Source organism: Homo sapiens, chromosome 9 (assembly GCF_000001405.40).
Source record: "Homo sapiens chromosome 9, GRCh38.p14 Primary Assembly".
Lineage (NCBI taxonomy): Eukaryota > Metazoa > Chordata > Mammalia > Primates > Hominidae > Homo > Homo sapiens.
The window spans coordinates 86,341,260-86,367,302 of NC_000009.12; the positions used below are offsets into that span (position 1 = coordinate 86,341,260).

Genomic DNA, 26,043 nt, shown 5'->3' on the forward strand with positions numbered 1-26,043 from the left:
ACCTACTATACAACTAACTTCTGATTTAACTAATTATTGAGGTTAACCTGCCTCTCAGCAAGTCTCAAAGTGGTAGCTGGAAGTTTGTCAAACTGCTAACAATATTACCTTTCACTCTAATACCATTGCAACAGATAGCTTACTGGTCCCGGAGTCAGTCTTGCACTTCTTTTTAAAATCCTTGTTTCGCAATGGAGCCAGGGCCATTTAAAATCATAAACTGTATCCTTACAACTCTCAATGACTTCTTACTGCCCTTAGGTCAAAACCAAATTCTTTATTTACCATGGTCTACACAATTCGGCCAGTCAAGCCCAGCCTACCTAGCCATCCTAATCTCCTGCTCTTCTTTTTCTTGGTCCCTTCACCATACTTACACAACCTTTCTTTTAGCTCCTTGAATATGCCAAACTCTTTATTGATTTAGGGTATTTGCAAATGCTGCTCCCCCTGCCTGAAACTCTTTTCCCTCCCGTTTCCCCCTCTCCTGCAGGCTCCTTTTCGTCTTTTAGAACTCAGCTTAAATGTTCCCTCTTCAAAGAAGCCTTCATGACTGCTGTATCTCTGCCCAGACCTTGTCATTTTCTATCCCTGAACCTTTACCTGCACAGCTCTCACTATAATTACAAGGTAATTACTAATCTCCTTTACTAGATGAGTTCCATAAAGAGGAACCATCTCTGTTTTGTCCTTTATAACCTAGTATGTCTGCCATACAAATGGGATGAGTGAATATTTGCTAAATGAATTAATGACACCGGATCAAAATAACTGCTATGGCTGGTAAATCACTGATCAGAATTTAAGGTTAAAAAAACAGTCTATTGGGTAGCTTACCAGGTAGCTACAGCACTCAGGTTTAGCAAGAAGTAAGAGGTTGTAAAATAGAACCTCTGGGGCCCCAGAATCTGGATTTTTTTTGAGAGAGGTGGGGCTGGCCAGGCTGTTCATGAACTCCTGGGCTCAAGTAACCCTCCAACCTCAGTCTCCCGAGTAGCTGGGATTAGAGGGTGAAGCCACTGCACCCAGCTCAGAATATGGATTTTTAACAAGCAACCCAAGTAACTGCAAACACATCATCTATAAACAGGCCTGTGGGAACTAACAGCAGAGAAATGGATAATCTACTAAAGTGCCTTTCAGTTTTTTGTTTTTTTAAGAGATAGGGTCTCACTATGTTGCCCAGGCTGGAATGCAGTGGCAATTCTCAAGTGCAGTCACAGCTAACTACAGCTTTGAACTTCTGGGCTCGTGATCCTCCCGCCTCAACCTCCAGAGTAGCTGGGACTACAGAACTGTGCCGTGTCCAGCTACACTCCAGTTTTAAAATTCTAACTCATCAACATACTTTTAAATCATGTTTAAACCAGAAATCCAGGCTAGGTGTGATTCTTTAAAAGCCTAATTATTTTAACAAAATAGGTATACAAAAAGAGGAAACTCCAGAGACAATTAAGCTTGCAGATCATAAATGTTTAAATATCTACACTTTAAAATCTGAATTCCCTTTCTGCCACTGGAAAGTTGATTTTATCAAGAAAATTTACTCTTTTTAAGTAACAGAACCTAAACACCCCCATCAGGTGCACATGGTTGAAAAACCAGTGTTGGATGTATAAAAGATCTATAGACTAAAATAAGTATGAAAATTTGCAGAGTATTAAAAAAAAAAGCTCTGAAACTGAAGGCAAGCGGATGCTGTCATTACACTTAAAATATCTTCAAATATCTAAAATATATTCATAGACAGTTTACATTTGTAAGAAAGAATTTCCATACCACTCTGAAAGTGCCAGCATTTCATTTTGTACTTACAATGGCTGGAAACTGGATGTCAATGTTTACATCCGAATTTTTGAAACCCAATCTGCTACAGGATGACCCATATAATCTTAGGGAACAATCTAAAAAATAAATAAATAAATAAAAGTAATAAATACAGTAGAATTTCTCAAAAGTTATAACAAAACACTGCTATTTCAGAAGCAGAACCATCAATTAAAATTACACACAAAAGCAAACTTGTATTCAAGACTAGCATAAACAAAGGACAGAAATAGGTGGCTCTTTGCTCTTCACTTAATTTAATAGGGAAGGCTGCATCAACTATGATTTAGCTTAACAGCCACGCTTCATGTCAGTTGTAAAACGTCAAATTGCTACGTTATCATGTATTTTATGAATAAAATACTATTATCTAAATATCACATTTTATGAAGAAAATACTATTTAAAATATTTTTTTAAATGTGCCAGTTGAAAAAGAATGTCTTTGTTTAAATTTATAAACCTGATAGTATATTCAAGAGCTAATGCAAACGTTTCTTTTCACCTTTTAGAATGCACCCATTGGTGTAATTTACTATAAGGAGGTTTTAGTAAAACAATAATAAAAATAATCTTTTGACATATTTAATATGAATTTCTCATTATATTATGAACAAAAAGCGTTTGCTGTAACAAAATCCCAATAAACTTTTGAAAAATAATTACAATATCACTGACATAGGTAGCAGACACTTCACTCTTCAGAGGAAGATGTGTGTGTATATGAGTACTATCTATAGTATAGCATTTATTTTCAGTGTTTTACTATGATGCCAAAATAGTATCCTTTCTCATCAGGGGTTGGTTTTCTTGTTTGTTTAAGGTTTGCTAAAATTCAAGTGATTTCTTTGGGTTTTAGCAGTTTTCCACAACAAAGTACATTCATTTTTACATGAAATTTTACAGTAAAAATCATCAGAATTACAACTGACTTTTCAGGAAATACATGTATAATAAAATGAGATTATTTTCCCTTATTCTTATGAAAGTATATGCGTTACAAATACTATATGTATGATCTTTCAGTAGAACAAACAGTTTTAAGATTTATAAGGTGACAAATATAAATAATGATTCCAACCCTAGCTGTGGATCAGAATCACTTGTCGAGCTTTGTAAAAATAGTTGTCCATGGCTTCACAGATAATTCTGATGCACAGCAAGAATTGAGAATGATGAAGCTATTCCAACCATTTACCTAAACAGCAATGGCCAGTGGGGGTTGGGGGATGATGTGGGGTGGGGTTTGTTGCCATCAAGGATTGACAGCAGTTGTGTCAGGCATTGAACATACCTGACCTTAAATTTTCATAGTAATACACTCCAAATAGTTGTGCCCCCTCCCCATCATGCCAAAGGTCTAAAGTTAAAAACAGGCAGAAGACAGACATAACTTGGAAAATCAATTCAACAGTGCACAAAATCCAATACAAATTTCTTAAAACTAGTTTTCAAAGTTCATTTTAGATGCTGCAATTCTCTTAAGTACAGTTAAATAAAATCTTTTTTTTTTTTTTTGACATGAATAACCTGAAAATAACTTCAGGATACTTCTCTTGATTTTAACTCAAAATATGGTGTCAATTTAGATGAGCGGAAAGGGAAACATACATACACAAGAGTCCCACAGTGCCCCAATAATGCAGGGCATTCAACTTAAAGTTCACACACAGGGTAAAATTTATAATGGAAACAGGTTTATAATGACAATGCATATGAAAGTCCTTGTTACCTTAGGGAAAGCCAGGGAAAACAAAAAACAAAAAAATAGAAAACACAAGAGCTTCATGACATGGTAAATAAATTTTTATTTGATGAAAATTACTATTGGTAGGAGAAATGAATGAGGTACTTTTAGGTAGTTAAATAGAAAAACAAATCTAGAAAATACCTGGTAACTTGTGTTGGAACACATTTTCCATGATACGTTTAATTTCCAGCCTCTGTTCCAAGTTCTCATTGTGTAAGCCAAATTCCTGTACCACTTTGTCAATGGCAATGCCAACTGCATTTATCTGGGAGGGTGTTGGTGGGGGTAACGTAGTGAGCAACTCTTCCTCTTGCTTCTCCTTTTAAGATCAAATGTTGAGATTAAAAATGACTTACACATAGTTTTGACCTTCTACCACTCATGAAGACAACACCCTATAGAGTTTTCTTTTTCTTAGCCCTCCCTTCTCATTTTAGCTGTGTTAGTTTTCATCCTATCAAACATATACATACTTCCTTATGCACATAATGTGGATCAGTGGTAACAGAGGATAGGTGGGCATAAGGAGAAAGTGTAAGGAAAGAATATTAAAAACAGCACTTACAAACATTGTTTGCTTTAATACTAGTATAAGGACATATACCTGGGTCCTATCAATGACTTCATATAACCTGATGCTGCCCTTAAGGAAATTCACAAGATTAACCAGTAAAATACATCTGACCAGTATTATGTATTTTGGCTCAAATATATTCAATAAATAAAGCAGTAAAGTTATCAATATCATAGCCTTAAGGAGAAGAAAGCCACAAAGATGACAAGTAATAACAACTAACAAGTAAGCAGACTTGTTTGGGTTACATTCAATTTACCTTAATGTTTTTCTTGTGCCTCTTTTCCTTGATATGCTTATGGGCAAATGCAATGGATTCAATTAAAACATCACAGAGTCTGCAGGTGTACTTTGCTGTAGGGTAGTTTCGTGGTCGCTATAATTTGAAGAGATTTATTTAGAGAGAGACATAAGTAAAACCAAACATTCAGATAAACAAAATCAGCCAGGAAATGATTTCCCCTTCAATTTCTTTTCTCTAAAGAGACAGGAGTCTCACTATGTTGCCCTGGCTGGAGTGAACTGGCTATTCACAGATACCATTATAGCATACTACAGCCCCAAACTCCTGAGTTCAAGCAATCCTCCTGCCTCAACCTCACAAGTAACTGGGGCTACAGGCATGCCACTGTGCCTGGCTTCTTCTTCACTTTTAAAATTGCTACTGTTATTGTTCCCTTTATCACTACCCTAACAGTCATTTTAAGTATAATAGCAATGACTCCTAATCCTATTAAATCACACTGGACATCACTTTTAACTTGTAGTGCTTAAATACTGATAACCAAAGTAGGATATCTAATTGATCAGAGCATGCATACTCAATTAACAACAAAATTGAGGCTAAAACCAGGATTCTAACCAACAAATATATATATAAGGATGTTACCCTTTTTAGCCTGTCAATGCAGTCTCTCTTCAGTCTCTCCTCAGCCTGCTGTAAGCCTAGCAGCTCCTTCGTTGAAAGTACAGACTCATCGATCACAGGGCCTTCCAAGTCTCCATCCTGCTCATTTTCCTCATTTCTAGTCTTCCGTGGCTTCCTAGGTCTGGACCTCTGCTTCTTGTTTTCTTAAGGTGGGGGAAAAATATTATTGGCAATATTAAATAATGCCACTCCTGAGTAAAAAGCAGACCTTACATATGTATTAAATCATGTGAGAGAATAAATCACATCTGCATGCAGAGCAGAAGGAAAGGTAGCTGTCCTATGGACAAAATGCTTTAATACTGTATTCAGTGAGCACATCACCTGTAGACATTAAGCCATAGAAATCATCTTTTTGGAAAATTTAAAAGAATTCTACTTCAATCATACAATTTGATTTTTATTATCTCTTCCTGGTATACTGCTGAGCATAGCAAAGCAACAGAAAAATTATACTCTGAAGGCAAGTATATCTATAATTCTATTATATTAAAATATTACAATACATATTGTAAATATATCTTACATATTCTATAATATCTGTAAGTACACCTGTTATTCTCATTAAAACCAGCCACATTTGCTTTCATCTTCTATAAGTGAACAATCTCAATAAGGCAAAATGCAAAATGTACCCCTGGACAACTCAGAAATCAACTATATACTCATCTGGAGTGAAAAATCATCATTTAGTTGCAAATTTAGCCATCAATAACACCTAAGCCGGGTCCCTCCGTTAATATGAAGAAGTCCAAGCCAAAATTTTATTTACTAAGGACAACTATCTCTCATTTTACCTTTACCTTCATTTTAGCTTCTTTGAATGGCCTGTACACTGAGCATATTTCAAAGGAAAAAAACAACTGGCCATTGAAACAAAAGTTTTCTCTAAGTACATTTGTTTATAAACTCTGCTATTAGTTCTATAATCCTTATAATGAATAAAAATCATCCTGTTCCTTTTTAAAACTTATAACTTTTCAACTTGTTAAAGTGATTGTGGGATTAAACCATAAAAAATTGTTTTAGATAGCTTTGATAACTTATATCGAGTTTTAAAAAATGAAACTATTAGTAACACATTAGTGCTTGGAAACATAAACCTACTGAAAAGCCCTACATGAAGTAATTCCTCCATCAAGTTTTCAGAGGAACTCATTACTACTAGTATGGCAATTACAATGAACTGGCAGGCTGAAAAGGAAATATAGGACCTCCAATTTTATAAAAAGCTTGCTGAGAGCGCTAAAGGATAAGCAGCAAGCATTGTGCTAAAACTACCTGAGATGACTATCTCAAAATTCTGCAAACACCTTCCACAATATAAGAAAATTAAAAAATTAAAAAAAATTAAAGTGTTGGAAAAGTAGTTTTAAAAAATCAATCAAAATACACTGAACAAATAAAATACTAAAAGGTAAGTTGTCATTTCAACAGAAAATCAGGCTACCTTGCGCTACCTTAATATTTCCTTTTTAATACTCCCCCGACTCCCAATTAAATTATCATAATCTTTTAAGGCCAGTATTTCTGGTCTGAACAATTTTTTTTTTTCAGATAAGCACTTCTTTTACTTAGAGATGTATCCATTCTCATTTAGTTTGCTTATCATTATAAACATTATCAAAAAAACTGCATCTAACTTCAGTGTTTATTACAGGTTTCTTAGGCAAAAACTCTATAAATTTAAAATAATACTGCAATACCCTTTAGAAAAGCCCCTATTAGTTCACAAGCCAGTAAGTGATAGGGAACCGAATTCCTTTTTTAAACTCTTCCTCTCTTCTGGTCACAAAGGTTTCTCCATATAACCATATTTGCTGTCATTTTCTAGAAAGAGTAACTTCTCTCTTCCTCCAAAGACCTCAATCAACTCCTACTGCTTTTATACAGAAGTGGATGGCTGCAGAAATTCTGTCAGATAATGGCAGCTACCATGATGGTGTATCTTATTATGCAACAGATGTAAAGCACTTTATATGTACTGCCTTATTTAATCCCTACAGCAATCCTGCTAATACTGTCCCCATTGTACAGATGGGGACAATGCGAATCCAAGAGAATAACTTCTCCAAGAACACATGGCTAAATCAAAGTAAAGGGATTGAAAATATAGATTAAAATATGGATGGGGCCAGGTGCAGTGGGTCATGCCTGTAATTCCCAGCACTTTGGGAGGGTAAGGTGGGAGGACTGCTTGAGCTCAGAAGTTCAAGACCAGCCTGGACAACATAGTGAGATGTCATCTCTAGCAAAAATGAAAAAAATCAGCCAGCAAGATGACTCACTCCTGTGGTCCCAGCTACTCAGGAGGCTGAGACGGAAGGACTGCTTAAGCCCAGGAGGTGAGGCTGTGGTGAGTCATGATTGCGCCATTGCACTCCAGCCTGGGTGACAGAGTGAGACTCTGTCTAAAAAACAAACAAACAAAAAAAGGATGAAATCCTGAAATTCAGCCTTCTAACTAACAACATAAAAACTGGAAAGAAATTACTAAAATCCCTTCTTGGAACATACCCATTCACATCTAGAGTGGACTAGCACTGAAAGGCAATATAACCTTCTAAACCTACTTTCACAGGCATGCATGGTAAAAACTGTCAAAATCTCACCGGAGGGACTCTTGGAGGGTAAAGCTAGGTACTGATGAAAAATTCTTGGCCAGGCGTGGCAGCTCATGCCTGTAATCCCAGCATTTTGGGAGGCCGAGGCAGGTGGATCACCTGAGGTCGGGAGTTCGAGACCATCCTGGCCAACATGGTGAAACCCTGTCTCTACTAAAAATACAAAAATTAGCTGGGCGTGGTGGCAGGCACCTGTAATCCCAGCTACTCGGGAGGCTGAGGCAGGAGAATTGCTTGAACTCGGGAGGCAGAGGTTGCAGTGAACCGAGATCATGCCATTGCACTCCAGCCTGGGCGACAAGAGTGAAACTCCATCTCAAAAAAAAAAAAGAAAAAAGAAAAATTCTCATAATTACTTGGAGGAAGACTACCTGGCTTACCTCAGATTTATTGTAATAAGAGTTCTCTATATTCGGCATTCCAAGTTTCCCATATTTTATTTGCATATGGTTCACAAAGGACATGTGTATTTGAGTGGATGCTTTCCAGCTAAGATCATTAATGGCAATGTCCCAAATACATTAAACTGGCAATCTAGGACATTTGAAGGCTAAAGTAGGGGCAGTAATGTAGAGCTGAAAAAAACAGAAGGTAGTACCGTATGTGGGGGGGAAAAAAGCAACTCCACCATAATTTCCATTATATCTTCTCACATTGTTGAATAATACCCTTCCTTATTAAGACACAATTTTGATAAAGAAATTTCGATCTCTTTAATGAGATCCTTTTTAGTTTATACTTTCAGTTGAATCTCTCTAAACTAAATAATGTTATACCGAAGCTTAATGCTTCCTATATGAAGATTTTCAAGGGATAGAAACTGAATAATTCTTTACTTAATAACTGTGAAAGCATATACCTGTATGTCATACAGCAAAAACATGCAAACTTTTGAATTACCTCCAATAAAAAAATAGCAAAATGCATTTCCTATTCAAATACACTTAAAAGCAACTTCTTTAGTTGCTTTTATAAGAATACACATAAAATAAGAAAACATATAAAAGTTTTTGTGGTCAGCCAACAGTTCCTTTTAATGTCTAGTTGCAAATTTTTGATCTATAAACTTTCTTTTTAAAATGCTTTTCAGCCGGGTGCAGTGGCTCACACCTGTAATCCCAACACTTTGGGACGTCAAGGCAGGCAGATCATGAGGTCAGGGTATCGAGACTACCCCTGGCCAACATGCTAAAACCCCAACTCTACTAAAAATACAAAAATTAGCTAGGTGTGGTGGCACGTGCCTGTAGTCCCAGCCACTCAGGAGGCTGAGGCAAGAGAATTGCTTGAACCTGGGAGATGGAGGTTGCAGTGAACCAAGATCGCACCACTGCACTCCAGCCTGGGCTACAGAGCGAGACTCCATCTCAAAAAAGAGAATAATAATAATAAAATGAAATGGTTTTCAAGATCAACTTCTACAAGACTATAGGTAACAAAATTAAATACCCACATCCCACCTGGACAGTAATACAGAAACACTTAAATATACACAATTTTTAATAAAGAAAAACACAAATCAAAAGCCCAGAAATTATCAAGAAATATTCGGCTCCGCCGTCAGGATTTCAGGTCCAGCGAGGCTGAGTTAATGGCCAGAGTAGCAGAGTCCCCAATTTTAGTTCTACTTCCTCATTTACCGCGCTGCATAAACAGGTCTGTGGAAATTTAACCTCTCTGAGCTGCAGCTGCCTGATTTGTAAAACTGTGATTCCATTTTTGATATATTACAACAGAGTACTGCATCAGATAATTCCTCAAGCTATTTCTAGCTTAAAGATTTAAGTTTTATGTCTCCCTACTACTTAACGCCTTTATAACACTTCATTCTGTTTCTGCTACTTGATATTAATATATACTCTTAATTTTCAAATTTAAAAATATCTGAGGGCCAGGCGCGGTAGTTCACGCCTGTAATCCCAGCACTTTGGGAAGCAGAGGCAGGTCGATCACTTGAGGTCAGGAGTTCAAGACCAGCCTGGCCAACAGGGAGAAACCCTATCTCTATTAAAAAACAGAAAAATTAGCTGGGCATGGTGGTGTGCACCTGTAGTCCCAGCTACTTGGGAGGCTGAGACATGAGAACCGCTTGATCCTGGGAGGCAGAGGCCACAGTGAGAGGAGGTCACATCACTGCACCTCCAGCCTGGGTGACACAGTGAGACTGTCTCAAAAAAAAAAAAAAAAAATCAGGCTGAATGTGGTGGCTCACGCCTGTAATCCCAGCACTTTGGGAGGCCAAGGTGGGTGGATCACTGGAGGTTAGGAGTTTGAGACCAGTCAGGCCAACATGGTGAAACCCTGTCTCTATTAAAAATACAAAAATTAGCCTGATGTGGTGGCATGTGCCTGTAGTCCCAGCTACTTTGGGGGATGAGACAGGAGAATCGCTTGAACCCAGGAGGCAGAGGTTGCAGTGAGCCAAGATCGCGCCACTGTACTCCAGCCTGGGTGACAGAGCGAGACTCCGTCTCAAAAAATAAAATAAAATATAAATAAACAGATCTGACAACTAGAAGTATCTGTGAAAAAAGAAAAAAAATCAAGTAGCACATTTCCCCCCATTTAATATTAATAAGTGCTTGAGACTTTCATTTTTATCCTAAGACCTTGTAAAGATAAAAGACGACCTTTTGGCTTTTAAGTATTCTATACGCATGGGACACAAATTCAAACACCTTATAGGTAACCAGTGTATGAACTGGCCACTGTGAGATAACATGAAGAGAAAAGGCATCGGGTGATCTAGAAAGTGTCCATATTCCCTGAATGCATTTAAACTAAAAAAATTTATTTAAAAGTGCTGGCCAGTTTGAAACACATTCTATACAACCACTAAAAAACGCTTTCAGCCACTAAACTTACAAGTCCATGTTTCCAACTGTGATATTGTTTCATTTTTTCCATCCAATTTGTGACTTTATTTCATTTCGGTATATATCTCCCATTAGATAAAAATAACCTTCCTGTTTGCAGAAATCGTTGCCACATGGATAAAATCTACTTTTTACTTTTAGAAAAACATATTATCTCCTTATTATCCCTTTGGGGCAATTAACCAAGCATGTGAGGGCACCGAGAAATTAGTTTTGGTCTTACTGAAACCAAACAGCAAAGCTTGAATCTATTTCTGACTTTCTAAACTTGTTTCTCAACCTGTTTGTCACGATCCCTTTTGAAAAACAAAGATCTCAGATTATCCATCTCGGGACACTGACACTACATCCAAAAGATATATCTCTTGTGGCAGGAGATATACGCAGTGTATACTGTGTTTTTACATCAACAAATAAGTTTTTTTTTTAAAAAAAGCTTTATATTCTGTCATTTATATTATGAACACATTAATTATTCAAATACAAAATTATAATCACAATTTTGAAAACACACAAACCACTGAGCAATTACGATATGGTCCCCTGGAGCATATAGCTACCCTCTTCTGTAAAAAACACGTTACAGAAAACATGTTTACTGACGTAAAGTGAGCCCTGGGGCAAAGTAAACTTTTAAAGGGATCAACATATGAAATGTGTTTTAGCTGCTCAAATATCATGATTACTATCCTTAAAATAATCACACTAAGTGACCATTTCTTAAAACAGAAACTGTGAAAAACTGAAACTAAATTGCTGAAAATAACAAAACTCATTTGGATGAAAAAGAATAAAACATTGCTGACTCTGGGGTTGTGATCTGACAAGTTGGAAAACATTACCAGGACTTCCTGCTTCCATTTCTGACGTGGTTTCTAGGCTTGTTAGGTCTTTATGAAACAGTCGTCTTACAGTTCTGCAGCCTCTTGTGTCTTGCCACCTATAACCATCTTCATTTTCTTGAAAGGAGTCTTTTCTTTGTCGGTTTATAACAGGAATTCTAGGTCCAGGTTTGAATTCTCTCCAGTTGTCTGAATTACCAGTATGTTCATCAGACAGCCATCTCTTACTCTGATCTTTGTGGCTGTCATTCATCCAAGCGGGTTGACTGTAGATTGGGTTTTTAAATGCATATGGATTGCTGGAAACAGCACATGGTCCTTTTCTGGGGGTATTCCCATAGTTCCCTGGTGTTATCTTCTTTTTTTGAAGGCCCTTTTCCATTTTACTGCCATGGCCTTTAGCATGGTCATCTATTATTAAATAATCTTGTTGGGGGTGACCCCTTCTGAAGTCATCATCATCCATAGTCCCCCGGTCTTTAGTGCGCTTCACGAAATAAGGTTTTGCTGTATCTCCCATGGTCTTTGACTTCAATTTTCTTACTTTGCACCTGAAAGAAGGTATTTTGGGGAAATATCAAACTATATAACAAGATATCATACAAGTATACAAAATAACAATTTATCGTACAGATGCCCCAAAGCCTGTAAGAAAGAAACTCCCTATTTTTTTAAAATAAAAATTCTATCACATTCTTAATAATCAGTGCTTTACCCTAGAGGTTGGGAGGCTTGGTCCTCTAATATTCTTCATGAAAATTAATACTTACTATTTAGCATGAAGATTAAATGTGTGAATAAGAGAAGCTCTATAGGTTCCAGAACTGTAGCATAGTAGAATATTACTCATATCAAGTATGGTCGGCTTTTCCCTCTGTAACAAGGCGTTTCTCTTCAAAGAAAACCTCATCCCAAGCCAATATTATTACTAAACTACCGAAACAGTCTTTTGTTTTTTAAGTTGGCAATTACTTGTAAGTGTTATACACCGAAACTTTACGTGAAAGGAGTACTACATTTCTCAACTCCAATTTTCCGTCCCTTCACCACCCCTATTCTGGACAGACCGGCTTTGAGCGCTTAGGTTACGGAGGGGCTGGGCTTCCGACCAAGGTGCAGCTGTAATTAAAGAGGCTGGGTTTCCGATCAAGGGACAACTCCATCTAACCTCCTCAATCCCCGTTCTCCAACCCCAAACAAGTTTGGTTTTGTCAGGAACAGCAATTCCCTGAGGAATGACACTCCTCTTCAATCCCCATCTGACCGCTCCACCACCGATCTGCCTTAGTTTCCACCCTTTTGAGCCCGACGTGGAGAAAGAGGAGGCGTCCCTGCACTCCTGGCCAAGAAGCCACCGTGGGGACCAGGAAGCAGGAAGTGACCTGCTGTCTCCATGGGGTTCCAGGGTTCCCCCGGCCGGCCAGGGGGCCAGAGCCGAATGTCTTGACCCAAATCCCGTCTTCTGCGCCCGCAGTCTGACAAAAAGTGAAAACACGGACTCGAACCCGAGGGCTCAGCCTCTGCCGGCCTGGGGGTTCCTCGGTCACCCAAACTGGTGCGAGGAGGCCGGCGGGGGATGGAACCAACGTACCTCCGGGGCCAGGCCGGACAGCTACTCTGGAGTCCAGGAAACCAACTGGAGAATCAGCCCGGAGGCGAGTCTGGCAGGGACGTTGGGAGAAGGCGCCCAAGAGCACTCACCACCTTCGCCGCGGTCCCCAGCCTCTTCCTGTCCCGGCCGGGCTCCCTCTCCGTGTTTTCCTTCGGCCCCACTTCCGGCGCTCAGCGCTGTCTCATTGTGCGCGATTGGGAGCCGACTGTGCCCCCGCCCTAGCGCTCCGCCGCGCACACCGGAAACGAGCGACGCGCCCCGCCCCGCGGTGCCCCGCCCACGCTCCGACCCCGCCTCCCGCGCCTTTGCCAGCCTGGCCTCTCCTGTCCGGCGCCCCAGCGCACTCGCTCCAGGTGTCGGGCGCCGGGTCTGGCCACCGGGCGCAACCGTCGGAGCGGGCTAATTACTGGCTCGCCGGATAGCCGGTTCGCCGGCGCTTGGGGGCCAGGCCCGAACTTCTTACCAGAGCGGCGCCCGCCCCTTTTCTCTCCCGGCTTCGACGCTCCTCTGGTTCCCCTCTCTGCTCGGGAGGCTAAGTGCTCGGGAGAGGCGCGGGAGCCAAGACTTATGCACCCGGAGAGGGACGCGGAGCCAGCGGTCGGGCAAAGCCGCATTCCCCGCGCTTGGGGCCTCGGCTTTGCCCCTGGGTGCTCCCCGGTTACTTCCAGGGGGAGTAAAGGCTCCGAGGCCTCGTAGCGCTCTTGGTGTTTTTCTGATAATTCGTAGTGATTAATGTTTTCGTGAATTCTTAATTGCCGACCTTGTAGAAATGCCAGCATTTAAACATCCACTGCTCACCCAGATCTCAAAGTGGTCAAGGAAAATGCTCTGCTTTTTTCTTAGGTTGTGTAAGGATTACTTTTACTTGGAAAAAAAAAAAATCAGTTCATTTCGAAGAATATGTGTAATGGCAAGGGATGACCAGAGAGCGTTACATTCGAATTTTTGAGTTGAAGAGTGCACACCTCGAACTCGGGGTTGCTTTTTCTTTCTTTACTGTATGACCTTCCTTGCTGTTTACAGTGTTCTAAATGCTTTGAAAAACATCAAGCAACTAGTGAAATTAGGGAGCGTTGGGAAAATCGACAGTTTTCATTTCTCTGCTTTTTTAAAGCATGTAAATTGAAAGCTGTCAGGTCCTGTGGAGCAATGGTCTTAAAATAATAACACACAAAGTTCTGGCTATGCCAATAACTGTTTTGAAGGCTTTACAAATATTAACTCCTTTGTTTTATATTTTTGTAGAGACAGGGGTCTCCTATGTTGCCCAGGCTGCTCTCCAATTCCTGACCTCAAGCCATCCGCCCAACTTGGCCTCCCAAAGTGTTGGGATTACAGGGGTGGTCCACCATACCCAGCCTTAACTTCTTTAATCCTCACAGCTTCATGAAGACTATATCATTATCCCACTTTTAAAGATGAGGACATTTAGCACTTGCAGTGAAGTAAATGGCACTGCTGCAATCCAGACCCTGAATATGAGGCTGTTATTAACCATGTGGCTATACTAAAAGTGATATAAAACACATTCCTACAACTTTTATATAATTCCTTACTTAGATATTTTGATTGTGAAAATACGTGAGGATCAAACTGATAGTCTCTTCAACAGGCAGACAGTGGCCTTGAAAATATAGTCCAAAAGGGAGTGTGGAGATGCATGATTACATTAATTCTGAGACAGCAGCGTCACCACGCCCCACCCAAACCAGTAATTCCTGTGCAAAAGAACTGGTTTAGAAATCTGCCTCCACCTAGAGTTCTAGAGTAGCAGCAGAGGATACATACTTTTAAGGATTTTTTTTTTTTTTTTGAGATGGAGTGCCACTCTGTTGCCCAGGCTGGAGTGCAGTGGCATGATCTCCGCTGGCTGCAACCTTTGCCTCCACCTAGAGTTCTAGAGCAGCAGCAGAGGATACATCTTTCTAAGGATTTAATTTTTTTTTTTTGAGACAGAGTCTTACTGTGTTGCCCAGGCTGGAGTGTAGTGGTGCGATCTTGGCTTACTGCATCCTCTGCCTCCCAGGTTCAAGTGATTCTCCTGCCCCAGCCTCCCAAGTAGCTGGGATTGCAGACAGGCACCACTATGCCTGGTTAAGTTTTGTATTTTTAGTAGAGACGGGGTTTCACCATGTTGGCCAGGCTGGTCTGGAACTCCTGACCTCAAGTGATCCACCGGCCTTGGCCTCCCAAAGTGCTAGGATTACAGGCGTAAGCCACCAGGCCTGGCCCGATTTAAAATACTTTTGCCAGGCACTTTGGCTCCTGCTTGTAGTCCCAGCAACCCTGGAGACTGAGGTAGGAGGATACCTTAAGCCCAGGAGTTGGAGGCTGCAGTGAGCTATGATGGTGCCACCACACTCCAGCCTAGGCAACAGGGCAATACCCTGTCTCTCTCAAAAATAAATTTAAAAAATAAAACGTTTTGAATTTGCGTTTTCTTCAACGTCTTTCCCAAAGCCCAACTTCTTTTATTCTAATGGTTGCTTTTAAGATTCATTTTGAGGACAAATCAGGCTCTCTCAAATAAGATGCAGTACTAATCAAAATATATTGACAGCAGAATATACCTTTTTCTGTCCATATTATGCTGTAATGGATATTTAAATTGGTCCTAGGAATTCTTACAATCTGGTTGGAAATTTTGATTTGAGTTTTCTTTGGATGTCACTGGAAGGATTAATGAGTTTCTCAGAATCTTTATGGTGATTGCTTCACGGTCTTGACATATTTCCAACAACCTGGAGCAGAAATGTGAGGGCAAAGGCTGCCATATACTGTTAAGCAATGTTCAGAGGACCTTAATACTGCTCCATATGTTACAATATATTTTCTATCTTGAGCTTAACATTGTAATACAACTTGAAATCTTGTGATTCTATCTCGAAATTAACATTTAATACATAATATGTCTTGACATTCTTGTAATTCTATCTAGAAATTAACATTGTAGTACATGTAATACATCTTGGCATTTTTGTAATTCTATCTTGAAATTCACATTGTAATACATGTAATACATCTTGAAGTTTACATTGTAACACATGTAATACATCTTGACATTCTTGTAATTCTATCTTGAAATTAACATTGTAATACATCTTGACAAGTCAACTTTGAACAAACCCAGTGCTTTTTTTCTATACAGCCATGGAGTCAGAAATACAGGAATTATATTCATAGCTTTATCAGCCAAATTCTTTCCCCAGTGTTTTATTTTGTTTGGTTTGGTTTGGTTTTCGGTTTTTAGAGCTCTAATGCTTAAATGCCAGCGGTTTTTATCCACATTGTTAGCAAGTTATGTTGGTTTGTCCTTCAAATCTGTCTGGAGTCCAGTAACTTATCACTACTTTCTCTGCTTCCAGCCAAATGCTCACCACTATCACTTGCTTCCACCTTGTCCTCCAATCTACTCTTGACACAATAGCCAGAAAATGCATATTAAAAATCAGACTGAGTTACCCCTCAAAACCTTTCACTGGCTCCCAATTTCTCTGGGAGTAAAAACCAAAATCCTTCAATGACTCAGGGCCTTTCCCTTTACCTCCCGATCTCAGCCCTTATTCCTCTTACCCCAGTGGTATAATATAAAATATATTTGGCCTTTGTCCCCAGTTTCTGTCATAGAGCTCTTAAAATCCTTGAAATTTCCTGAGTGATAGAAGTGTCTTTCCGTGTTTATAGTGAGCCCCTAAACTCCTGAGTTTATGCTAATGAGATGATTTAGGATGGGGGCCCTACATAGCCTCAGCATGGGGCTAATCACCAGAAAGACCAAGTGATTGGAGGATTAGAGGGTTAGAACTTTGAGCTTCACCAACTGACCTCTGTGAAGGGGAGGAGGGGGCCGGAGATCAAGCTCTCTAAGTAGTCTTGAACAAAAAGATTTGATGAGATTCCCTATAGTTGAACACATGTAGGTGCTGAACGTTGGCTCACCTAGACAGGGCATGGAAGCTCTGTGCCCTTGCCCTATGTACCTCTTCATCTGGCTGTTCATCTGTATACCTTATAATATCATTTATAATAAACCAGTAAGCGTGTTTCCCTGAGTTCTCTGGGCCACTGGGGACACGGGAACCTCAGAAACCAGTCAGTCAGAAGTATGGGTGGCTTTGACTTGTGACTGGTATCTGAAGTGGGGGCAAACTCGTAGGGCTGAGCCCTCACCTGTGGGATCTGACACTATTGCCAGGTAGATAGAATTGAAATGGATTATAGGACACCAAGTTGGTATAATTGCTTCTGTAAAGGCAGAAGGAACTTTATACCCTCAGAAGCTTTGATGGTTTGAATCTATAAAACAAACTGACAATAGACAGATTAACAGGAGAAAAAACATATCGATTTATTAACTTGCAAGCTAGCGAGACCCAAACAAAGTATGAAACTCAAAGAAGGGCCAAATGGCTGAAGCTTAAATGGGACCCTGAGCTACAGAAAGAAACCAGGGCCTCTGATGGGGAGGTGGTGACCACAGTCATTGAAAGGTGAGGGTAGAGTAAGTGTGTGTTGAGCAAAAGTTTCTTCTTATACAGATAAAGTCTTTCAGACTAGAAAAATGGTTTTAAAAAAATAGGTGAAAAGTGTGTCCAGCCAGACGTGGTGGCTCACACCTGTAATCCCAATACTTTGGGAGGCTGAGGCCTGAGGATCACTTGAGCCTAGGAATTTGAGACCAGTCTGGGCAACATGACAAAACCCCATCTCTACGATAAATACAAAAGATTAACCTGGCATGGTGGCACACACCTGTAGTCCCAGCTACTCAGCAGACTGAGGTGGGAGGATCACCTGAACCCAGGGAGGTCGAGGCTGCAGTGAGCTGTGATTGCACTACTGTACTCCAGCCTGGGCAACAGAGTGAGACTCTGTCTAGAAAAAAAAAAAAAGCCTGTCCAGGTACATTGTCCTGGGCTCTCCTGAGATACGAGTTCATCTTCTCTAGTTAGTGTAGATTCCAAGGAGGGGGTCTAAGACAATTGCATTTCTTCTGGAGAAACTTCCCTTAATCAGATAAAGGAAGTTTAGAGAAAGTCCCTCCCTTCCTGTAGGTGGGTGAGGGTGGTGGGGTGAGGCAAGAGAAAATCAGACAGTCCTTGGTTCTGAGATTTATTTCTGAGCCCTTTCAATTTCCTTGTTAAAGGCACACAGCATGCCAAAGTGCCACATGTTGGGGCATCATTTTCTAAGCTCCAACACTTGGTATGTGGGGAAATCACCAATCTCCACTTATCTGGTCACAGAAATGTGCTGTATTGAATGTGAGAATAGAGTGGAAACTATTTTTTTCATTACATCCCCTCCCATACACACACATTGCACCCCGACTATGCTAGCCTTGCAATTCTTCCATCACAAGCCTCAGGGCTTTGCGCTGGGTGTTCCCTCAGCCTAAAACAGTTTCCCTAAGACATCTATATTGGTCACTTCCTCTTTCCCTTCATGTCTTTGCTGAAAGGTCACATTCTTAATGCAGCCTATTCTGACCACCAATTTATTTATGTATTTACTTATTTATTATTTATTTTATTTATTTATTTATTTTTGAGATGGAGTCTTGCTCTGTTGCCCAGGCTGGAGTGCAGTGGCGCGATCTCAGCTCACTGCAACCTTCACCTCCCAGGTTCAAGCGATTCTCGTGCCTCAGCCTCCTGAGTAGCTGGGATTACAGGTGCCCATCACTACACCCAGCTAAGTTTTTTGAATTTTTAGTAGAGATGGGGTTTCACCATGTTGGCCAGGCTGGTCTTGTACTCCCAACCTCAGGTGATCCACCCACCTCTGCCTCCCAAAGTTCTGGGATTACAAGCGTGAGCCACCACACCCAGCCCTGACCACCCATTTAAATTTTAATCTAACATTTTACCCGGTGTATTTTTTTGTCTTGTAAAAAGAATTTAAAAATCTAAGCTGTTGAAACTTTAAATTTTTTGAACCTTAAAGGAATGTGCTTATGGAGCCTGAGTCACTTGACAGGCAGCTATAACCTAGGCAGCTGTAGCCTTTGTTTCTCTCATTATAGATTAACCTTCTTCTTTACCTATATTGTTTTGTAAAATGTTGTAAATGACTAATGGGCTCCAGAGAAGACCCCTTTTCTCTTTACTGTTGATCTTCATTATAGATTACCTTTCCTCTTAACTCTCTCACACTAAGGCTTATGACTAGCACATTGTCTAAGAGGGAATGTTAAATATACTCTTAAGTTGAGAAGAAAATGAAAACAAGCTGTATGGAAATGAAAACAAGCCATAACTAATTAAATTGTTGTTATAACCCATAAATCAGCCTTCTATGCAAAATTTTGCCGGCACAGTGGCTTATAGGCTGGGCGTGGTTGTTTACCCTATAATCCCAGCACTTTGGGAGGTCAAGGTGGGAGGATTTCTTGAGCCCAGGAATTTGAGACCAGCCTTGGTAACGTAGTGATGTTATATATAAAGTTTCGGTGCTGCAAAAGAAATAGCACTTGAATATAAAATTTTCTTTTTGATTCTCAGGAAGGCAAGGTACTTCTATAGAAGGGTGTGCCCTTACAGATGGAGCAATGGTGAGCACACACTTGGACAAGGGAGGGGAAGGGGTTCTTATCCCTGATGCATGTGGCCACTGCTACTGTGTCCTTCCCTTATTGGCTAGGGTTAGGCGACAGAGGCTAAACTAATTCCGATTGGCTAATTTGAAGAGAGTGATGGAGTGAGTGGTTTGGCAGGAAAAATGGTTATGACAGAGCAGGTGATTGGAATGAGTCAGGGTGGAGTAGGTAATCGAAAAAGGTTGCTTTATGAGGAAGTTAAGTTTAAAAGTAGAAGGCAAAGAATTGAACATACTGACATATTGATTCTTTGAAAAGAAATTTAGGACTCATATCTAACAACCCCTCCTCTTCTATTTCCTTACAGCTTTCTTTTCAAACTTTTTAAACATGTCTTGGCTTAGTTGTTTTGCTTGATTTTGCAAAAGAAGAAGCTTCTCTGGATAAGGTGAGGATAGTTAAGGGAGGTTTTAGTGAGTGCCATTTTTATGAGCCTCTGCATCAACCTACAGATGCATGGTATGACACAGCAGCCAGCAAGAATAAGTACACCTATTATGACTGTGAGGGAAGTAGGAATTGTGGCTACTATTGCTTTCCATTTACCGAACCACTTTTCTAGCCATCCTGTAAAAGGGTCATTTACCCCTGAGTTGCGGGCTAACTTGTTGGATAGAGCAGTCAGACCTTGCGATGCTTTTGTTATACTTCCATTAGGGGCAGTGTTGTTTGGGATGAAGGTGCAACATTGAGTTTTAATCATGATGCAAACTCCTAATTCTAGTGTAGTTAATAAATCGCTATTGGTTGTAGTAGATGTAGTTTATCCAATCTACATTTTTATTAATTGTCACCTACCAAAATATTGATGCAAATCCTACAGCTATTTGATTTTAGGCTTTAAATTGATCTGGTATTCCCCATGGGACTCTAATTGTGTCTAAATAGATGTGAGAGTCAAAAGACCCATAAGGGGCTTCTCTCGCTTTATGATGTCTTATTTTTCCTTCCTCTGGTTGATGAAATGCCAGGGTGAAAGGGATAGCCAATTGAACTAAAGCACAAATGCCACTTCAGTTATTTGTCAGAGTGTCCAGTAAAGGTCCACCACAATACCACCACATATCCACTTGGGGATGAACAAGGGCTGACTGATTGATAAGCTCTTGAAAATTCTTAAGCTCACTGCATCCCTTCAGGTCTCCAAGGAACGCTGTTTCCTCCCTGTTGTGAGAGACATGAAGTGAACTTAGTGTTGGGAGACGGAAGCTGGATAGCCCTCGGGGGCTGACCCACAGGGTGCCAGACTTCGGGATATAGCAGAGAGGGAGCTTGGCACAACTTATTACTCTAGGCTGTAGAATCCTGGAAAAGAGCTGCCATGCAGCCTATGCCTGGTCAAGTGGAGGGTCACCCTAGTGGAAAGGGGACAGTCTGGGACTCTGGCCTGCTGTGCGTACAAGCATAACAATTGCTTTTGTTTAATGTGCGGACGGAATATTTGATCTATTCCACCAGGCATTTGCATCTTGGTATCCTTGGTATCTTTGGTATCTTAATTGCCAAAGTTTATTTTAAGTCTTTAACTTTTATGATCCTCTAGTAAAATGAATGTATGGTTTAAGGAAATTACAAAAACCGGTTGGGGCAGTCCATCCTTGCTCTTCAGTGGTCCACAGAACGTAGGACCAACTACGGCATAAAAGCTCTACATCGGGGGCAAGACTCCTGGTTGACACTGGAGTTTTATCGACATCTCCCCGGATTAAATGCCCAGTCTGAGGCCCAGTCTGAGGAGAGTCAGGAAGGACAGAGGTACTTTTTTGAAGTAGAGAGCTGTCTTTGACTTGGCAAGTCCCCACAGGGTATAACAAAGCAAGCATCAAATGCAATAGTTTGAGGCGAAATTGACTTTGTTATGTTATAACTAGACGGTCAGCAATAGAGCGAAGAAAGAAGCAAGAGTAATTGAATAGATGAAAGAAAGTTAAATTTTTCTTAGCTTTAGTTTGGTAGGGTTTTCCCCTGGGACCATGGCCCACGACTCTGGGTGGGGGGGCGGGGGTGCGGGGGGGGTGGCCCTTTCTTGACTCACGTGTGATGAGTCCATCCTCTTTTCGTTGTATGAACAGCAGTCCCGGTGGTTAGCAGCCCAAGGTAGGGTCCTTCCCAGGCTGGCTCGAGTTTTCTTTCTTTCCACCCTTTGATGAGAATGTGATCCTCAGGCTGGTGCTGGTTTACTGGAAATTCTAGGGGTGGTACCTGTGCTAAAAGACTTTTAGTTTTGGGGGAAAGGAAAGAGGAAGATAAACCAAGTATATAAGGTCTAAGAAATTGATCTTTTGTTTTAAATGCAGGGACATCAGCATTGGACATTATAGTCCTTGGTGCCTTCTTATTAAGAAATTTCCTTTAGCACCTATTTTTATTAGTTTTTAGACCAAAGAAAGCCAAACACCATTTTATATTTGACAATGCTTCCTGTATGACTTTTATACCAGATAAGCTAAATTTCACCTTTATATTAGTGTGCTATTAATGTTAAAATCAATTTTAATAAAACCGTGTAGACATATTTATCCAATTTTAACATCTAACCATAAGATAAGATTTTCATAGACTCTTTTTAACCTTTTATAATTTTTGTTAAAGAGCAGGTTAGTGCTTTAAGAAAAATCCATTGTGCTTTTATTTTAATGTCCAGTTCACAGAAAAACTGGATGATACCTTTTTAACTTTAGCCAGTGTGTTTACACACAGAATTTCCTTTATAATTAATGTTTTCAAACTTGCTTAAACCTTCAAAACAAAGTTTTTTTTTCACCTTTTAATGTAGGTAAAAATCCACATTCTTATGCCTCTTTATAATTCTTTTACTAAAAGTATATTTTACTTTCCTTATACACCTTGCACATAAACTGTTTCGTCAATAGTTTTACATTCAGGACGCCTAATTACTGTTACATTATACAACATTTCTTGCATAAATTCCCTTTTATAACACATTTTTTTTCACGCTTTACAATATCTTATTTTTCCTTCCTCTGGTTGATGAAATGCCAGACAATTCTTTGACATGCCTCAACTTTCTGACTTGTTGCAAATGTCCCTTTCTTTAAACAAACAATTTATTTTAGGACAAGAATTTACCATATAACATTCTTTTTACATAAATTCTCCTCCCCCATCCTTTTTTTTTCCCCAAAGATGATAACCATTCTTTTCCAAAGCGAACTTCCTTCGGGTCTGTGGATTAGATTGCCTAAGGCCACAAGATTAGAAGTTAGGATAATACATGTTACACTGTTAACTTTTAGCAAGTTTTGCTTTTGTTGAAAACCTTGTGAGTTTGGGATTTCAATTATCCTTTGCTGTTAATAAGACCTTGTTTAGTCCAAATTAACTTAGAATTGGTATAGATGGTTCCTTCCTTGTTCTGTAAGTACTTTAAGGCTTGGCTGAGTGCAAACAGCTCACACGTTTGAGCAGACCAACTGTTGGGCAATTTTCTTAACTCTATTTCTAAGAGAGTTTCTCCATCAATCACTGAACACCATTGTGTCTTTTTCCCTCAATCACCAGGGAGGAACCATCTATGAACGAGTGCCGTCCAGTCCGGAAGGGGGTTTCTCCTGGGTCTGGTCGAACCTTTGTATGGTAATCAATTAAATCTAAACATGTATGTTCATTCCTTAGATTTGGATTCTTTGTCAGGAAACTTGCTGGGTTGAGTGAATTTTCAGTGGTCAATGTTAAATTATCCTTTTCTAACAGAATGGCCTCATACTTAAAGATTCTCGAGTCAGTAAGCCATCTCCCTGCTCTTTGGTTTAAGATAGTTCTAACTTGGTGAGGCTTGCTTACTGTCAATTTTCCTCCAAAATGCTTTCCTCCACTAGTATTGCCATAGTTGCGATGGACTGAATGCATTGAGGCCATCCACAAGTGACTGGGTCTAAGACCTTTGATAGGAAGGCTACGGGCTGCCGGTGGCCTCCCTGTTCTTGAGTCAGCACTCCTAAAGCTACCCCACTGTCCACATTAACAAAAAGGTGGAATGGCTTTTCTAGGGAGGGTAAGGCTAAAACAGGGGCAGTTATGAGCCTTTTCTTCAGCTTCTCAACTTGATCAGCTTCCTCAGAAGTCCACGGGAGATGGTTAGGCTTCTCCTGGGCAAGCTTTTGATATAACAGTTTACTGTGCAGTGCATATGAGTCAATCCATAAGTGGCAGTATCTGACTAACCCTAAAAATTTCGAGTTCTTGTTTAGTTTGAGACAAGGGTAAGGACATGATTCCCTTGATCCATTCAGGCCCTATTCTTCACTTGCCTGTGCTTATTAAGTGGCCTAAATATTTAACTTCGGGCTGTACATACTGAAGCTTTCTTTTTGAGACTTGTAGCCTCTCAAACTGCAGACAGTTAAGAATATGTGTAGAGAAGTCAGTTACCTTCTCTTTATCTTCAACAGCTATAAGAATGTCATCCACATACTGAAGAAGGCATATTTGTTCTGGGATGACAACTTTTTCTAATACTTGTTCTAAAATTTGACCAAAAAGATTAGGGGAGTCTGTGAACCCTTGGGGCAAGATTGTCCATCAATGTTGTTGTTTCTGCCCTGAGTGGGGATCCTCCCACTCAAAAGCAAATATATCTTGGTTATCTTCATCCAAGGCACATGCCCAAAAAACATTCTTCAAATCTGTCATAGTAAACCATTGATGATTATATGGACTGGCACTATTGGGGTGTTATAAAGGGACATACAGAGCTCAAGAGGCCTGTCCTTAATAAGGCCTTCGATTATAGGTTTTAACTCTATCTTATCTTCTAGGGAAATAGGGTATTGTTTCCTACTTACTACTTCTCCCGGGGTTTTTAGCTTGATGTGGATCAGAGGGACTTGGAGTTTCCCTCGGTTTTCTTCTTTGGACCAGATATTAGGATTAACATATTTTTCATCTGTAGTGGTGAGTAGGTTTAATGAGGTGAGGAATCCTCTTGGGCTGACTTGCAGACCTATGCCTAACTTTAACATTAAATCCCTCCCCAGTAAATTAGTTCCTGCTTCAGGGATTAACAAGAACTGAATATAAGCTGAGCAATCCTGGTATCTAACTTCTGTGCTTTCTAAAATTTTTGCTCTAAATCCTCCCCCTTTTACCCCAGAGACTAAAAGTTCCTCTGAGGAGGAGACAATATTAGATGGGGGGTGGGGAACAAACAGAGGGGCAAGCAGCCCCTGAGTTGACTAAAAAGGTGATAAGCTCATGTTTAGGTCCCACCTACAAATTTATCAAGGGCTCCTGGTGGTACTCAAGATAAAAGAGACAGAGCCTCTGACCCCCCTATTCTTCCTTGAAAGTCATGAGTGGAAGGGTTTCTTTTTCCTTTCTTAGTTCAGGACATCCTTTCTTGAAGTGGCCTGTTCTTCCACATCTATAGCACCTATCTTGTCTTTCCTCCCGCTTAGTTCTGGGATTCTTTAACCCTGCTCCCCCATACTCTTTAGGGGGTCTGGTAGACGAGGACCTTGGTCCTCCAGATGGAGGCTGGGGTCCTTTTAGAGAGGGGTCTTTAGGTTGGGAGGGAACAGGCTGGTGGGATGGTAATTCTCAAGAGTCAGGGTTATAAGGAGGAAGAATAACATGAGTACAGGGGGAATTGGAATGGGATCTGAGGCAGCAGTGGCTGTCTGAGGGAAAAGATTGGAGACACTGAGTGGGGGACACTGAGTCTAGGGGATACCATGCACTGGAGTCTTTAGGCATGAGAGCTGGCTTCTCTAACTTTTCAGTTTGAGGTGCTAGATTGGGTTCTTCCCTATTTGTTTTTAAGGGAAAAAGGAGGGCTGCGCCTTGCCTCCAACAAAGGGCATAGCCTACTTCTTCTTGAGACAGTGGACCTTTATCATTACCATATCGGATTAGAAGTTGGCACATCACATCCTCATTCGACCCAAACTTTGGCCAGAAGATTGAGGGTTTGAGGATGGGTCCCTGAGTCCAAATATAACAGCAATATTTTATCATTTGTTGCTTTTTCCTATGTTTAGTCCTTTCATTATCCTTCCAGTGTTTTAGCATGAGACCCAGAGGGCTATCTGGGGGGATATCTTTGTTACCATCTTTATCCCCTTTGCTCCCTCTCTTGCTTGGGATATTTCCCATCTTGATGGTTTTGGGGTAAGGTTCAAAGTTCAATTTCCCTTACTGGACATTTTTCACCTTTTGGGGTGAGGCTCAATTTCCCCCACTGGAAATTTCTTGCCTTTTCTACTGCTGGAGGTTTGTGTGAGGTTTAATCCCTGCCAAGAGGGATGTCTTGCCTCTTTTTAACCTCTAAGCCACCTTGACCAAGGAGTACTTCACCACACCCCCCACCCCCCTGCAGCTTTCTTACCTTAGTCCTGACCACCAAGGAAATACTTTACCAGCTCACACAGCTTCTCCTTCCTTGGTCTGTGCAC

General features: G+C 40.4%; 1 protein-coding gene across 19 annotated transcripts in view, besides 2 other annotated features; it reads right to left on the minus strand.

Annotated features, from left to right (window-relative positions):
- TUT7 (terminal uridylyl transferase 7) overlaps positions 1-13,151 on the minus strand; it is a 66,678-nt gene extending 53,527 nt beyond the window's left edge. For 12 of the 19 annotated variants that reach the window (NM_001185074.2, NM_024617.4, XM_005252207.4 and 9 more), the window contains exons 1-6: positions 13,012-13,151; positions 11,421-11,971; positions 5,040-5,221; positions 4,410-4,526; positions 3,718-3,895; positions 1,816-1,904 (exon numbers count right to left, since the gene is read on the minus strand). In NM_001185074.2, the coding sequence (NP_001172003.1) occupies positions 1,816-1,904; positions 3,718-3,895; positions 4,410-4,526; positions 5,040-5,221; positions 11,421-11,940 (1,086 nt within the window). In that variant the 5' untranslated portion in view covers positions 11,941-11,971; positions 13,012-13,151. Of the gene's footprint in view, positions 1-1,815; positions 1,905-3,717; positions 3,896-4,409; positions 4,527-5,039; positions 5,222-11,420; positions 11,972-12,190 lie in introns of all 19 variants that reach the window. The other 7 variants (XM_017015130.2, XM_047423867.1, XM_011519013.3 and 4 more) reach the window with 3 other exon arrangements.
- Positions 13,000-13,209: an enhancer, noted in NCBI's record as "active region_28516". NCBI's record gives its function as "activates an Ori minimal core promoter by ATAC-STARR-seq in GM12878 lymphoblastoid cells {active_cell/tissue: GM12878}" and the evidence as "EXISTENCE:reporter gene assay evidence [ECO:0000049][PMID:35858748]".
- Positions 13,230-13,409: a silencer, noted in NCBI's record as "silent region_19997". NCBI's record gives its function as "represses an Ori minimal core promoter by ATAC-STARR-seq in GM12878 lymphoblastoid cells {active_cell/tissue: GM12878}" and the evidence as "EXISTENCE:reporter gene assay evidence [ECO:0000049][PMID:35858748]".